The sequence below is a fragment of the Homo sapiens genome, chromosome X (assembly GCF_000001405.40).
Source record: "Homo sapiens chromosome X, GRCh38.p14 Primary Assembly".
Classification (NCBI taxonomy): Eukaryota; Metazoa; Chordata; class Mammalia; order Primates; family Hominidae; genus Homo; species Homo sapiens.
Window position 1 is genome coordinate 140,670,638 of NC_000023.11, and position 17,374 is coordinate 140,688,011.

General features: G+C 39.6%; 1 long non-coding RNA gene across 1 annotated transcript; it reads right to left on the minus strand.

Moving 5' to 3' along the window:
- Positions 1-10,468: 10,468 nt before the first annotated feature.
- LOC101928833 (uncharacterized) lies at positions 10,469-17,172 on the minus strand. The gene is made up of 3 exons (XR_244544.6): positions 17,031-17,172; positions 16,805-16,891; positions 10,469-10,666 (listed from the first exon to the last, which is right to left on the minus strand). It is a non-coding gene; the product is annotated as an uncharacterized LOC101928833 (long non-coding RNA).
- Positions 17,173-17,374: the final 202 nt, after the last annotated feature.

Here is a 17,374-nt window from a genome sequence, read left to right on the forward strand (position 1 = left end):
CAGCTTGAGAGACTTACTTAGTATTTCTCATTGGTCAGATGTGCTAGTGATGAATTCTCTCAGTCTTTGTGCTTTTAGGAATATCTTTATTTCTCCATATTTGAAAGATAGTTTTCCTGGATATATGCTTATTGTTTGGCAGAGATTTTTTTTTCTTTCTTTCTTTCTGGTATTTGAGTATATCTCCCATTGCCTTCTGTCTGCCATTGCTTTTGATGCAAATTCAACTGGTAATCAGATTACAGTTCTCTTCCATGATCAGGTTTTTTAAAAAATGCTTTCAACATTTTCCTTATGAAGTATCTAGGTGTGGATCTCTGTGTTTATCCCATTTAGAGATCGTTCAGATTTTTGCATATACAGATTAATGTTTTTCAGCAAATATGGGATTTTCAGCCATTCTTTCTTTATATATTTTTCTTCTAGTTTCTCTTCTCCTGAGACTCTCTTTCTACCTACTTTGGTGGCTTGATAGTGACTCTCAGGTCTCTAAGGCTGTGTTCTTTTTCCTTCATTCTTATTTCTGTTCTTCAGACTGGATAATCTCTACTGATCTACTTTTAGATTTGCAGATTCTTTCTTCTGCCATCTCAAATCTGCCATTGAACATGTCCAGTAAATTATTTACTTCAGTTATTGTACTTTGCAACTTGGTTCTTTTGAAAATGTATATCTCTCTATTGATATTTTTAATTGGATGAGTTATTATACTCATATTTTCATTAATTCTTAAGAAGTGCTTCCTTTTATTTTTTATAAAAATATTTATAACCATGGCTTTGAAGTTTTGTTCAACTTCATGGCCTATTTGACACATTTTCTATAGACTGCTTTTCTTCCTGTTTATGGGGACACTCTTCTCTGTTTCCTTTCTATGTTCTGTAAGATTTTGATGAAAACTAGACAATTTAGATATAATATTGTGGGAAATACAGATTCTCCTTGGAGTATGTTGTTGTTGCTTTTTCTTATCTTTTCAGTTTGTTTAGTAACTTGCCTGAACTAATTTTTAAAGAGATTATCTTCTCTGTAGTGTCTTTATTGATTGTTTAAATTCTTGTTTTACAGTTTTTTTTTTAAGTTTGGCTCCCGAGGAACTGTGACTGGATCAATAAGCACAGTGGACAGCCAGTTATTATTCAGAGGTTTGCTTAAACAACTTGAGCCAGTAAGGCTTCCACCCTTGCAAACTGATATATGAAATTCAGTTTGGAAGCTAAATTGGAGAATTTCAAAATTCAGACAGTTTATAAGTTGGCCCCAAGTTTTACTTTCTGCTGGGTCTTCTCCTGTCTTCTCTGCACATGTGCAAGATCTTAGATTCAATCAGGCCTACTAGTAGATCTCTGAGATCTTCTCCTGTCTCTTCTAAGTAGAAGCAGCCTTACACATTTGCAGAGCCTTCCAAATCACCAGAGATACCTGGTAGCTTGTCAAGGCCCACTGTGGCTCTTATTTTCCTGTTAAATTTTGGGCTGTTTTGTTGATGACCTCGAGCAGTATTGCAGCCTCAAGCAGCTGCGACATTGGCCTTCTCTGACACTGAAAGCCATTATTTTTGACAATGCCCCTGGGTTTGGAGCTTTTTCTCTACTCCAAATCAAGTCAGTACCCTCTGGCAGTAGAGCTCCTGGTTTCACAGCTTGCCTTGCTCTGGTAGAATTACTGTGATGGCAGCCGGGTGGTTGAGAGGTCAACACCAGAGACCCCCCTGTTCTTGCCAAAGTTCAGTACTTTTTCTTATGTAAATGCTTTTCAATCTGTGGGATGCCTCTGGTCAATAGACAGAGTCCTGAAATAGCTGTTTTTGAAAATTTTTTGAGTGTCATCATTGCCTTTGAGGAAGGGATTTGCTGAGCTCCTCACTCTATCATTCTCACATTCCTGCTCCCTCCCACAGTTCCTTTATTTCTACCTCTGCCATCTGTTAGGACAACTCAAGTATTTCCTTATTGGCGAGTATTGGCCATGGCTTTTTCCAGGCTTCTAAGATACTCCCAGTAACATATATGCCTGCACTCATGAGGTTCTTGTTGGTGTTCAATGTCATGGTAAGAAAGTGCTCCCTGGTCAATGAACTCTTGATTATACAATTTTACACTCTAGCTCCCAGAACAGTCTCAATATCCAATCCCAGGCATACTCATATAGATCCCCTGGATCCTGAAGATACACACAGGCTAATCTTTGCAGTTTAGTGTCTAGCCAGGTTGTTTGCTTATCAGGTCCAGCACATCCTCATCTGGGTGATGCTTGGATTTAACCTTTGTTATTGGTCTGGCAGTTAGGAGAGAAGGTGAAGGCAGTTCTTTAGTGGGACGTCATTTTCTTGCAAGGGAGAAGCCTCTGTAGCACCTTCTAAGCACAACCAAAGCACTGGCACTTATTAAGGAAGGCGGGGCTAGCTCTGCAATCCCAGAGTGTTCAAGGTGTGTGTGTGGTTGGGGGTGGTGGTGGTGATGGAGAGGACTGCAGAGTCAACATCTTCTGGGATTTTATTTAGATCTTCTCGTTGCATAGATCAGTGGACCAGGCTTCCTTGCCCAGGGTACTAGCATTCACATAGCTGATTTTGCCTTGGCTGATCACTCAAATATCTCTGACTCAGCAACTCAAACAATCAGGCCTTTAGTTTTGTTTGCTCTTCACTGCAAGAGATAAGAGCCTCTTTGTAAGCTACTACCAAGGCCTTGTTGTTATCACACTTAGCCATTAACTGCTTGTTAGAGGCCCACAATCTCCCATTATCTCTCTTTAGCGCATATGTATAGCTTATCAGTAACCAGCCAACTCTTCTGTTTTTTTAGGCATTATTATACCCATATCTTGCAAATGCCTAAATCATCACACCTGCAACAGCATTTCCCTCCACTAGGACATTTTCCAGGTCAGCACTGGGGAAACCTGTAGCAATTGAGCCACCACCTTGTGCCCGTGTTCCATCTACTATGCAGGATGGTGTCCTCTTCCCTCGTGGGCAGTGAGCGAGCCAGTCTAACGTCCCCATTTTACTGCCTTTTTTCCACCCTCCTGCCACTCTTGGTACCGTTTGTGCTATTTCAGGTACCCGAGAAGCAGATGCCAAAATGGGATTAGACATGCAAGAGGGTTATTAGGGAAAATACCTATAAAGGAAAATGTGAAGGTTGCCAGAGAAGTGGGCAGAGCTGAAAGATCATGATGCAGGTTGACCGTTGTGAAGGAGCAAGAGAAGAAGGTTGAGTGGAAGAATGTGAGACTCAGTGCAAAGGATCCTTGAACCAAAGCCAGGTGTCGGAGGAGTCCTGCCTCTCCCAGGAATGACTTGCATTAGTACCCCTCTCACAGTAGGTAGCTAGTCAGACATGAGCAGGGCAGGAGAGGGCTTCCCTATACCAGGAATGTCAGGTGAACATCAGGTGATGGTCAGGCAGTTGTTAAGCTGACTCTCTAAAATAATTATTGGTCGCAGCTGGCACCAGGGCAAGGCGGTCTCCCAATAGATAGAAAACGCCTGAAGCTGGTGATCAGCAGCTTCCCAATAAGATCTCAGGATTTGGGCAGTTGGGCTCAAGCATGTGCACTAAGAGGCAAAATGGCAAAGTTTATCTGGCATAAGACGTTCTTCTAAGAACATTCAACTGGTAAGGGAAGAATGCCTCAAGTGGGCATGTGTACACCTCCAGTAAACACACTGCTCATGCGGCCCCTCCCAAGTGCTGGCAGGCCACTGTGCATGCGGACAGCCCATTCCAAGGGAAGAATCAGGGGAGAAGATACGCAGACCCTGGAAGAATCCCAGTGAATAAAACCCCAAGTCAAAGGTCAAGCCATGCACTTGATCTCTCAAGTCACCTGCTTGGCCCTCTTTCAAGTGTACTTCCTTTCACTGCTACTCCAAAGGTTTTTATTAAACTTTCACTCCTGCTGTAAAACTTGCCTCTGCCTTATGCCCCTTGGTCGAATTATTTCTTCTGAGGAGGCAAGAATTGAGGTTGCTGCAGATCCATATGGATTCACTGCTGGTAACATCCCTGCCTCATTCAGTTACTGTCTAGGAGCAGGTAATGAGAAGTGTGGCTTCAGTGCAAATACAGTGATAGATTTCAGAGCCCAGCAGCTGTGTGAGTGAAATATATTCCCCGTAGTTTGAATGCTGAGAGGCACAGAAAAAAAAAGAGGAGATTTCATGGCTACCACAAGTATTCTTTATTTTCTTTTCTTTAATAGCTTTTCCAACTTCTCATTTTCACTTAATCTCTTCTTTTCCATACTGATCTTCCTTTTTTATTTTATTACCAGCATTTATACAAAATATGATTGAGCTAATAATTGTTGAGGAGTAAAAACAAGTACAAAAAGGGCGAGATAAAAGTAGGGAAATATAAAAATATGAACAGTGGAATTTTGAGGGAATAATATGTGCCAATTGTCTAAAAAGGATGTTGAAAATAGAATTTTATGCTCAACTTCCCTAGTCACTAGAGAAATGTGAAACAAAACGAGAATGAGATACCATCTCACACCAGTCAGACTGGCTATGACTGAAAAGTCAAAAACTAACAGATGCTGGTGAGGGTGTGGAAAAAAGGGAGCTTATATATTGCTGATGGGAATGTAAATTAATTCAGCCATTGTGGAAAGCAGTTTGGCGATTTCTCAAGGAACATAAAACATAACTACCATTCGACCCAGCAATCCTATATACTCAAAGGAATATAAAATCCTATATACCCAAAGGAATACAAATTGTTCTACCATAAGGACACATGCATGTGTATGTTCATTGCAGCAATATTCACCATAGCAAAGACATGGAATCAACCTAAATGCACATCAACAGTAGACTGGATAAAGAAAATGTGGTGCATATACACCATGAAATACTATGCAGTCATAAAAGAGAACAAAATCATGTCCTTTTCAGCAACATGGATGAAGCTGGAGGCCATTATCCTAAGCAAACTAATGCAAGAACAGAAAATCAAATACCGCACGTTGTCACTTATAAGTGGGAGCTAAAAGTTGAGTGCACATGGACACAAAGAAGGGAACAGTAGGCACTTACCAGAGCCTACTTAGGGGTGGAGGGTGAGAAGAGAGTGAGGCTCTAAGTATAATAAGTATAATAAGTATAGTACCTATCAAGTACTATATGTATTACCTGGGTGATGAAATAATCTGTAGACCAAACCCCTGTGACATGCAATTTACCTTTATAACAATTCTGCACATGTACCTCTGAAAAGCAAATGAAAGTTAGAAAAATAAAAATTGAATTTTAAAATTGGGGCTGCGCATGGTGGCTCATGCCTATAATCCCTGCATTTTGGGAGGCTGAGGCAAGAGAATTGCTTTAGGCCAAGAGTTCGAGACCAGCCTGGGCAGCAATACCTCATCTCTACAAAAAATAAAAATTAAAAATAAATAAATTCGATTTTCCACTTTCCTAAAAATTTGTTAAGTGTATAAATAAGTTCTTAACTTATGCTAGAAACAATATAAATTTTTTATTTCCTATGGAGTATGACAAGGGCCATCTACTTCAGTAAACGTCTATTATCTCTTTGTCTCTTGGGCCTTTTATCCATGCCTTTGAATGATTTTCTGTGTATGTGTTCGATTGTCAAAGATATAACCTATGCATGCCCTAATTAATGTGTCTTAAAAGTGCACTTTGCTATTGAAATGTTTTCGCTTTAGATTTTCTGAAACAAGTATCCTGAAATATTAGAACTTTCAAAAGCAGGTTTATATGATCATACATGTTGTACTCTTATTACTATTACATGCAGAATATTTTTTAATCACAGGCATGTCTCCAATATAGGGATATTTCACTGGGGATGAATGTTTTCCCTAATATTCTCTAATGTTTGTTCAAGGATACACTTAAGTGGGCTTGAATCATGTTTTTTATATCAGATTGAGGCAGTTGGCATGGGTGGAAGAGGTACCATCTGTGTTCTAACAGCAGGAAGAGCACCACATCAATGTGTATGTCTATCGGAAATGCTTTGCCTAAGAAAACAGTTCAGCGAACTCTGCTTTAGATGCTCGGAATTTCCCTGCAAAAATGAAGCAAGCAACCAAATAAGCTGTCTCTGAGCATAACTTGATGAAAACTGCTTCATTTCTGTGGCTGTAGCCTTGATGTTAATCTTTATTACCTCTACCTCTAACTGCATTAAGTCCCATTTAGCTTTCTTGTAACCGGGGATCTGACAAATTGAACTGGTAGATTTCCTACCTGAGAAAAAGAACATTTCTAGTAGCTTTTTAAGTTCTGTGGGCACAGTTTTGTCCTCCTAGCTAACTTCTCCCACTACTAATAATAGTATTTTAACATTTCGATACAGCTAATTGAGATCTTTTCTCAAACTGTTCCAGACAACTAGACATATTAACATATATGAATATAAGAATAAACTGTAACCGAGAACTATCATGTCTTAATCGTGTGACTATTTTATTGGAAAGCTATAAAACCATTTGCATGAGTCTCTTGTGAGTTGGGGTTAGAGGGAGAGAAAGGCAGAAATGGACCTTTAAACCATTATAGTCAGGTCTCAGATTTCTTTCTTTTTTTTTTTTTTTTTTTTTTTGAGACAAAGTTATACTCTGTCACCCAGGCTGGAGTGCAGTGGCCCAGTCTCAGCTCACCATAACCTCTGCCTCCTTGCTTCAAGCGATTCTCCTGCCTCAGCCTCCCAAGTAGCTGGGATTACAGGTGCCTGCCACCACACCTGGCAAATTTTTGTATTTTTAGTAGAGATGGGGTTTCACCATGTTTGTCCAGGCTGGTCTCAAACTCCCAACCTCAGGTGATCCGCCATCAAATTTCTGTGTTGATAAGTAAGAAAGGCATGTCTCTGATAATACCAAAGAGTGGATCATCCAACAGCTGTTTCTCTTTGATGTGAAAATGTATAATAGAAAATTTTACTTTTTCCTAACCTACTGACTTTCTTAATTCTCTTCGACTTATGTAATGAAAAGTAATTTTTTGACTTAGCTTATTTGTATTCAAAGAGCCAGAGATGAGAAGAGAGAGGGCACTTCAGAAGCATATTGGTTGCTTGGGAAGAATTTGGCCTGTACTAAACATTATTAAAGATGCTCAAGAAATTGGGTAAGCCAAATATGAAAACCATGAGAGATTACCTTAACTCAATTCTTTAATTGAGCAGTGAATCTTCAGAGGGATAGTCTATTTAATTTTTAGATAATTACTTTGGAAACTTTATGCTTGTGTTGATATTTATATGTACTAATGAGATACACAAATAATTGCAGCTTTGACTAAATTGGATCAATGTAGATTTAGTTAACCCAGATATCTAAATAACCAAGCTAGGTAATCCAGAGACAAACATTCTAGTTATCTCTTCTCAGCAGCAAGATTCCTTTGATTTTTGTTTTCCATCTTATTTTGCCTACATTTGCTTATGACAAAGTAATCCTAAAATGGCTACCTGAAAATACACTTACATGGCAATATACTCTCTCTCTCTCTTTTTTTTTTTTTTTTTCCCTTTTTGAGACGGAGTCTCCCTCTGTCACCCAAGCTGGAATGCAATGGCGTGATCTCAGCTCACTGCAACCTCCACCTCCTGGGTTCCAGTGATTCTCCTGCCTCAGCTTCCCAAGTAGCTGGGATTACAGACAGGCACCACCACACCTGGCTACTTTTTTTGTACTTTTAGTAGAGACAGGGTTTCACCATGTTGGCCAGGCTGGTCTCAAACTCCTGACCTCAGGTGATCTGTCCACCTTGGCCTCCTAAAATGCTGGGATTACAGGTGTGAGCCACCACGCCCAGCCTATACTCCTTTTTTTAACTTAATTTTAGTAGAACAAATAAGTTTGTACTTCTTCAGACATTGATGCAGCCAACAGACACATGAAAAAATGCTCACCATCACCGGCCATCAGAGAAATGCAAATCAAAACCACAATGAGATACCATCTCACACCAGTTAGAATGGCGACCATTAAAAAGTCAGGAAACGACAGGTGCTGGAGAGGATGTGGAGAAATAGGAACACTTTTACACTGTTGGTGGAACTGTAAACTACTTCAACCATTGTGCAAGACAGTGTGGCGATTCCTCAAGGATCTAGAACTAGAAATACCATTTGACCCAGCCATCCCATTACTGGGTATATACCCAAAGGATTATAAATCATTCTGCTATCAAGACACATGCACACGTATATTTATTGCAGCACTATTCACAATAGCAAAGACTTGGAACCAACCCAGATGTCCACCAATGATATACTGCATTAAGAAAATGTGGCACATATACACCATGGAATACTATGCAGCCATAAAAAAGGATGAGTTCATGTCCTTCGTAGGGACATGAATAAAGCTGGAAACCATCACTCTGAGCTAACTATCGCAAGGACAGAAAACCAAACACTGCATGTTCTCATTCATAGGTGAGAATTGAACAGTGAGAACACTTGGACACAGGGTGGGGAACATCACACACCAGGGCCTGTCGGGGGTCGGGGGAGGAGGGAGGGATAGCATTATGAGAAATACCTAATGTAAATGACGAGTTAATGGGTGCAGCACACCAACATGGCACATGTATACATATGTAACAAACCTGCACGTTGTGCACATGTACCTTAGAACTTAAGGTATAATAATAAAAAAATAAGTTTGTACTTCTTCAAACTGGTCATGATGTTATATATATGAATAAGGAGTATAAGAAACTTATGTGGGTCTTGTTCACAGTCTACCTTTTCTGCTAATAATATGATGATACTTTGTGGCTCACTCTGTCTCATATAATTTCAGGGTGATAGTACCTTTTGAAACAAATTGAGCTTCACCACCAGCTTGATATGTGCAAACAGCGTGATCTATATGCAACAACAACAACAAAAACATGACATTGTCACAGGCTGAGCTGATGAGGATAGGAGTCTAGGGCAAAAGAGAGGTAGTTGTCCTTCTCTGCTCTGTACTGCTAAGACTTCAGCTGGAGTATGTTTCTTTTATGGCACTGTATTTCAGGTGGGATGTTGGGGTGATGGCCAGCAACTTAAACAGTGGCTTTCAAACTTTTGACCAAATACATTTGGCATCACAACCAAATATTTGTATTGGTGTGTGTGTAATTGAAAAGTTTTACAAAGCATATATTACATGCGATGCACCAAAATGTTTTCTATTCTCAGTTATATTAAGTTCTGATTTATTTTTGAAAAACTGATATCATGGTGCAACTCAGGAGTAAATCCCCACATTTTGAAAAACACTGATCTGAAACACTTATTTTACTATAATAATTTAGTGATTGTTATCATCATTATCAGCATTATTTGACAATAAATAAGACCTTAGTTGAGGTGTAGTTGGTTACTTAATGGATAATGTATGCTGTTTAGTATATACAGTCATTTGACGGGGAGACGCTTGTGAGAAATGCATGAAGTGATTTCATTGTTATGTTAACATCATAATGTACTTATACAAACTTAGGTGGTATAGCCTACTACACACCTAGGCTATATGGTGTAGCCTATTGTTCCTAGGCTACACACCTGTATAGTGTGTGACTGTACTGAATACTGGAGGCAGTTGTAACATGATGATACATATTTGTGTATCTAAACATAAAAAAGGTACTGTAGGCTGGGTGATGTGGCTCATGCCTGTAATCCCAGTACTTTGGGAGGCCGAGGTGGACAGATCACTTGAGGCCAGGGGTTGGAGACCAGACTGGCCAACCTAGTCAAACCCCATTTCTACTAAAAATACAAAAATTAGCCAGGCATGGTGGCGGGTGCCTGTAATCCCAGCTACTCGGGAGGCTGAGGCAGGAGAATCACTTGAATCCAGGAGGCAGAGTTTGCAGTGAACTGAGATGGCGCCACTGCACTCCAGCCTGGACAACAAAGTGAGGCTCTGTCTCAAAAAAAAAAAAAAAAAAAAAAGAAAGAAAGAAAGGAAAAGAAAAAGGTACTGTAAAAATATGTTATTATAATCTTATGGAATCACTGTTCTATATGTAGTCTGCCATTGACTGAAATGTCATTATATGATACATGACTGTACCTACATGTTGCCAAAAAATAATCATTCCATGTTTCAGGGAAATGCGGTGGCTGGCTATATATACAATTAAAATTACTTAAGGAAGGGGTTGTCTATGTGCAATCACTGCTAAAAATGAAGTCCCCATGATGATTTTATTTTAACTTTGTCTATCAGTAACATTTGTTAGTCCTACAGTTATTAGAAAATCAGATATACTGAAAGAAGATATATCACTTTAAATAAATATAGAAAGGAAACTAGATTGCACAGCCTTGTCTAAGCCAATACAAATTAAATTCCTGCTGAATGCCTGGCTCTCTTATTCCATCTGCCCTTGTCTCTAGCCAAAACACTTCTTTCCTGCCTCGTAGAATCTGAATTCTAATGACATTTGCAATCTATTTGGTTAAAAGACGAGTGGCCATACTTTTTTGATCAAATATACATTTATTGCCTCAATTTGTGTGGTACTGTAATGAAAAGGCATTATAGGACAATCGCAAATTAAATTTCATCAATCCATATTCCCAATGTCCCATTTGATGTATCTTTTAGGTACAGCATATGCTATATCTTCATCCCTCTGTTGTAATTTCTGAGATAATATTTCCATTTTTCATTGTACCTGGAATAAAACAATAAAAAAGTTATAGTTGGCATAAATTAAATAAAAGTGCAAGAGGTGACATAAATATATTATTCATTCCTTAAATCTGTTAATTTGGGTTGGCTGTCATTAGCCCCACCCTTCGCCTTCCCTCTCGTTCTGTCTCTTCATTGGTAAAGGATGAGCTAGCTTAGCCTACTAGAGCTGAAAAAAACCCTGAGGTGCATGACATCAAACAGAAAGAGAGAATGGCATGATAAAAATAACATGGGCTACACAAAGCAAATATACTAAAATGTTTAATTTCAGGATCTAGGTGATGGGTGTGTTGGTGTACAATTCTTTTAATTTTTCTGTATATTTAAAAATTGTCATTAAAAATGTTAGAAAAGGCTGGGTGTGATGGCTTACACCTGTAATCCTAGCACTTTGGGAGGCTGAGGCAGTCGGATCACTTGAGGTCAGGAGTTTGAAACCAGCCTGGCTAACATGGTGAAACCCCATCTCTATTAAAAATACAAAAAATTAGCTGGGTGTGGTGGCGAGCACCTGTAATCCCAGCTACTCAGGAGTCTGAGGCAGGAGAATTGCTTGAACCTGGGAGGCGGAGGTTGCAGTGAGCCAAGATTGCACCACTGCACTCCAGCCTGGGCAACAGAGCGAGACTCCATCTCAGAAAAAAATGTTAGAAAAAATGTGGTTCAGGTAAGATTAGGACTGAGAATTAACTATGAAATGGCAATGTGGAGGTAATTGGAAATATTGGTAAGGAAAGTTTTGGTGGAGTTGTGAGAATACAAGCCTGGTTGGAATGTATTCAAGAGAAAAGAAGAGGAAAGGACCTGGAAACCGTGAGTTTTAGCAGCTGTTTTGAGGAGCTTTACTGTAAAGGGACAAGAAATTTACTGGGAATGGAGCAATAGCTGGAGAGAGCTGAGGGAGGAAGATGGGAGAAATGACAGCATGCTTTTATGCTAAAGGCAATGAACTAGTAGAGAGGTAAAAACATCATGATTCATGAAAGGAAAAGAATAATAGGAGGGATATCCTTGAGTTGGTGTTGGTGGACAAAATGTTGTGCATAGGTGAAGGGGTTGGCCTAAACATGTACAGTTCATCTATAACAACAGGAGGGAAGGCAGAGAATATGTACAGATGCAAGTCAAATGGAGTGATGGAAGTTTATGGAAGTTCCCTTTTGATTACTGTTGCGGGAAGTCAGGGACCCTGAATGGAGGGACCGGCTGGAGCTGCAGTGGAGGAACATAAATTGTGAAGATTTCATGGACATTTATCAGTTCCCAAATAATACTTTTATAATTTCTTATGCCTGTCTTTACTTTAATCTCTTAATCCTGTTATCTTCATAAGCTGAGGATATACATCACCTCAGGACCACTGTGATAATTGTGTTAATTGTACAAATTGATTGTACAACATGTGTGTTTGAACAATATGAAATCAGTGCACCTTGAAAAAGAACAGAATAATAGTGATTTTTAGGGAACAAGGGAAGACAACCATAAGGTCTGACTGCCTGTGGGGTCGGGCAAAAAGAGCCGTATTTTTCTTCTCACAGAGAGCCTATAAATGGGTGTGCAAGTAGGGAAGATATTGCTAAATTCCTTTCTAGCAAGGAATATTACTACTAATACCCTGGGAAAGGAATGCATTCCTGGGGGAAGGTCTATAAACAGCCGCTCTGGGAATATCTGTCTTGTGCAGTTGAGACAAGGACTGAGATACACCCTGCAGTATCCTCAGGCTTACTAGGGTGGAGAAAAACGTTGCCCTGGTAAATTTGTGGTCAGACCGGTTCTCTGCTCTCGAACCCTCTTTTCTTTTGTTTAAGATGTTTATCAAGACAATACGTGCACCGCTGAACATAGACCCTCATCAGTGTTCTGCTTTTGCTCTTTGCCCTGTGATCTTTGTTAGACCCTTATTAGTAGTTCTGCTTTTTGCCCTTTGAAGCATGTGATCTTTGTACCTACTTCCTGTTCTTACACCCCCTCCCCTTTTGAAACCCTTAATAAAAATTTGCTGGTCTGAGACTTAGGTGGGCATCACGGTCCTACCGATATGTGATGTCACCCCCGGCGGCCCAGCTGTAAAATTCCCCTCTTTATACTGTCTCTCTTTATTTCTCAGCCGGCCGACACTTATGGAAAATAGAAAGAACCTATGTTGAAATATTGGGGGTGGGTTCCCCCAGTAGATTACTTGTATTTTCTCAGTGAAAGAAGAAACAAGATCATCATCTGAGAGTGAGGCTGTGGGAAACTATGTTAAGGATTTGAGAAGAGAGGAAAATATATGAGATATTCTTCTAGGAAAATGGGAGTGTACATGGACTCAGGAAATTAAATAGTATATATATATGTTTTTAAAGAAAAACATCCTAAGAGTTGAATTGCTGGGTAAAAAACTGTATACAGATTCCCTTCTTTTGATAGCTATTGACAAGTTACTGCTACAAAAATTATTTCTTTCTGTTGATAGATGTTGACAAATTACCTCTATAAAAATTATACTTATGGCCAGGCACAGTGGCTCATTCCTGTAATCCCAGCACTTTGGGAGGCCAAGGCGGGTGGATCACTTGAGGTCAGGAGCTCAAGATCAGCCTGGCAAACAAAATGAAACCCCGTCTCTACTAAAAATACAAAAACTAGCCAGACATGGTGACAGGTTCTTGTAATCCCAGCTACTTGGGAGTCTGAGGCAGGAGAGTCGCCTGAACCTGGAAAGCAGAGGTTGCAGTGAGCTGAGATTGCGCCACTGCACTCCAGCCTAGGTGACAGAGTGAGACTTTGTCTCAAAAAATATATAAAAAAATAAAAATTATACTCCTACAAATAATATACGAACTTACATTTCCCCATTACTGTTACAGCACAGTATATTATCAAACATACTGACCTTTTTCAATATGATAGCTGAGAATCAGTGCTTCAGTTTACCTTTAGTTTGTATATGTCTTATTATGCCTGAGATAAGCATCTTTTCATATGATTAAGAGTCAGAGGTTATAGATGAAAACTGGATTTTCTAGGGAACCACTTCTCAATCTGATGAGGTAAAGTATTCTATTTTCTGCCTCCATGACTAGACCTACACTGGTACCCAGAGCCCAGGATCACAGAAACTTTGGAGTCAAAAGTTCTTAGAAGAGGATTAAGAAGAGTTTTTAGATTTTGTCTAGGATCTCAAGAAACAAGTTAGTGTTAGAATAAGGACCACAATCCACAACTTCTGACATGTGGCCAGGATTCAAGCTCTGTGCTCGATGCTTGGGAAGGACAAAGATTTTGAAGCAGGCAAGTGATGAAACATTCATACCTGAACTTTAGAAAGATGAATAAACCCACGTGTTTTACAGTGAGCGAGAATGGATTAGGAGCAGTGGCTTGCTCATAGCGGGCATTTAGTAAACATATAAAAGAAAAAGAAAAAGGGTCCAATCTAGGAAGAGAGAAACCTTGCAAGACACAGTTGTGTCCCACTGGCCCAAAGAACTCTGAATCAAGTAGCCTTATAGGGTTCCAGCAGAGAAAGCCAAGACAGAAGAAAAAAATGCCGGAAGTGCTGCTCACAGTAGTGCTGCATATGATTGCACAATTTGCATTGCACAAAGGTACCTGGTGGGTAAGAGCAGGCAGTAAGGCCTGGAATTAAGTCTGTATTGTGTTTGCTATGCCATGAGCCCACAGAGCTATGTAAGCCCACAGAGGGTTCTCATTCCTAATACGTCCCACAAGAGAGAGTGAGTGCTTTACTGATCTGTTAATCCAGAGAGGTGTCGTTTTCCAATCTATCTGTTGAGAGGGAGCACCTCTCTCTAATTTGCATAAATGTGCTCTGTGTATGCTAGTGGTGGCCACACAGGTCCCTCTTGGAGTCATGTAGCCCAATGCCCATGGCAATGGCTATGGTTCCCCACCCATCCTCCAGGTCTTCCACCTTCTGTACTGCTCCAGGAATTGTATAAAATGGCTGGATGCAGGGATCCCAGTTAGAAGTCTGTTGAGGGAAATCAGAGAGTAGACAAAGGATAGAGATAGATTCAGGAAGATAAGGAAATAATTTGGTATTATACAAGGATCCTATAATGTCGTTTTCAAATAGCAAAAATGCTAAATGCTAATAAACATAATGTAATGCATTCCAATGTTCAGTAGAATAGTTTTGCTGCACTTGCAAAATTATGAGGGAATATTCATATTGAATGTTTATCATCAGTAATATGGAACATTAGCAATTGATTCAATTTGATTTCTGGTCTGCTCCTGTTATAGTATACATTGGGAAACATCTTCCTGGGTTGAGGACCTGGAGGGAAGCTTGTGTTTTCATCAGAAGGTCAGAAAGCCAGTGTCAGGGAGGGATCAGGAGTGTCACTAATTAAATGATATATTGTGTAGATTTCACCTTCTTTGTAATAAATTGAATCATTTTGCATACCACATAACTCCAACAAAGATCTCTTTCCTGACTTTTCCAATTATCAGGTGTTGACTCCTGTCTTTTGAAATAAACAAAATACCAACTAGCATTCAAACAAAAAAGCAGCAAGCACGGTAGTGCCTGCCTATAGTCCCAGCTATTCCTTGTAGTCCCAGTTACTTGGGAGGCTGAGGCAGGACGAGCATTTGAACCCAGGAGTTTGAGTCCAGCCTAAGCAGCAGCAAGAACCTGTCTCTAAAAAAAGAACAAAACAAAGCAAACAAATAAAAACCTAAAAATGCAAAGCAGAAGACAAATAACTTCGAAGAAACAACAGATGCTGGAGAGGCTGTGGAGAAATAGGAATGCTTTTACACTGTTGGTGGGAGTGTAAATTAGTTCAACTAATGTGGAAGACAGTGCGGTGATTCCTCAAGGATCTAGAATCAGAAATACCACTTGACCCAGCAACCGCATTACTGGGTATTTACCCAAAGGATTGTAAGTCATTCTACTATACAGACACATGCACACGTATGTTTATTGCAACACTATTTACAATAGCAAAGACTTGGAACCAACCCTAATGCCCATCAATGATAGATTGGATAAAGAAAATGTGGTACATATACACCATGGAATACTATGCAGCCATAAAAAAGAATGAGTTCAAGGCTGGGAATGGTGGCTCACACCTGTAGTCCCAGCACTTTGGGAGGACGAGGCAGTTGGATCAGGAGGTCAGGAGTTCAAGACCAACCTGGTCAAGATGGTGAAACCCTGTCTCTATTAAAAATGCAAAAAAATTAGCTGGGCATGGTCGTGGGCGCCTGTAATCTCAGCTACTCGGAGGCTGAGGCAGATAATTGCTTGAACCTGGGAGGCAGGGGTTGCAGTTAGCCAAGATCGCACCACTACACTCCAGCCTGGGCAACAGAGCAAGACTCAGTCTCAAAAAAAAAAAAAAAAGAAAAGAAAAGAATGAGTCATGTTCTTTGCAGGTACATGGATGAAGCTAGAAGCCATCATTCTCAGCAAACTAACACAGGAACAGAAAACCAAACACTGCATGTTCTCACCCATAAGTGGAAGTTGAACAATGAGAACACATGGGCACAGGGAGGGAAACATCACACACTGGGGCCTGTCAGGAGATGTGGAGAAAGGGGAGGGAAAGCATTAGGACAAATACTTAATGCATGTGGGGCTTAAAACCTAGATGACGGGTTGATGGGTGCAGCAAACCACCATGGCACATGTATACCTATGTAACAAACCTGCATGTTCACCACATGTATCCCAGAACTTAAAGTAAAATTTAAAACAAAGAAAGCTGTACATTTGCAAATTGTCTATGTCTGAACTAATATTCCCTGCCAATTAAAACACATAAAACACATACGTCAAATTACAATTAAAGTCATACAGCTATGTTCATATAATCTGCTTGTAATCAAGTTTTTTTTTGGGTGTTAAGCAAAAACAAGTGAAAGAGAACAAAGCAGGAATCCCTAAAGAGAATGGTCAGTTTATAGACATGAAAGATTACAGTATTTAATACCTAGCAAATACCCATCCAATTATTGTATTTTATGTACAGTGCTGTTAACCTATAAACAAAGACAGAATCACACAGCATACAAAAGAAGCCCTAACCTATCTTTTGAAATAACTGTAATCTCACTGAATGTGAAGAATGCATTAATTTACCTCAGTAGTTTGAAGAAAATTCATTATCTTGATGTGTTCTGTTTTTATCCTTTTGTCCGGATGGTGGTCCATTGAATTTTATGGGTGCTGCAAAATATTTTTGAGAACTTACTGTCTTGAGAATACTTAACAGTGAAATATAATTACCCCCAGGAACAACTTTTGCTTCCCCAATGCTTAATGTTATTCTTTAAGCCTGTTAGTTGTCCTGTTGAATTTCACTCACCTGAATAAGCCAAGTGTACATGAAGTTGGTATTCCACTAAAAATACAAAAATAAGAAAATAAAAGAACATTGGAATTTTGTTTATTATTTAAATATTTTTTTTGTCCTATGGACAAAAGGAGAAGTTTAACTCTAGTCCAATTATCTGCCCTTTCTCTCTCCTTCGAATGAAAATGATCTCCTTTCAGGATTATGAAGTGAAACCACCAATATGAAGTCAGCATACGTCATCATAATGATGATAATGATCGTCATCATAATGATGATAATGATTGTCATCATAATGATGACGGCTTGGTCTTAGAACCAAGCCAGCTAATGGAGTAACTAAGAGAACGAGGAGG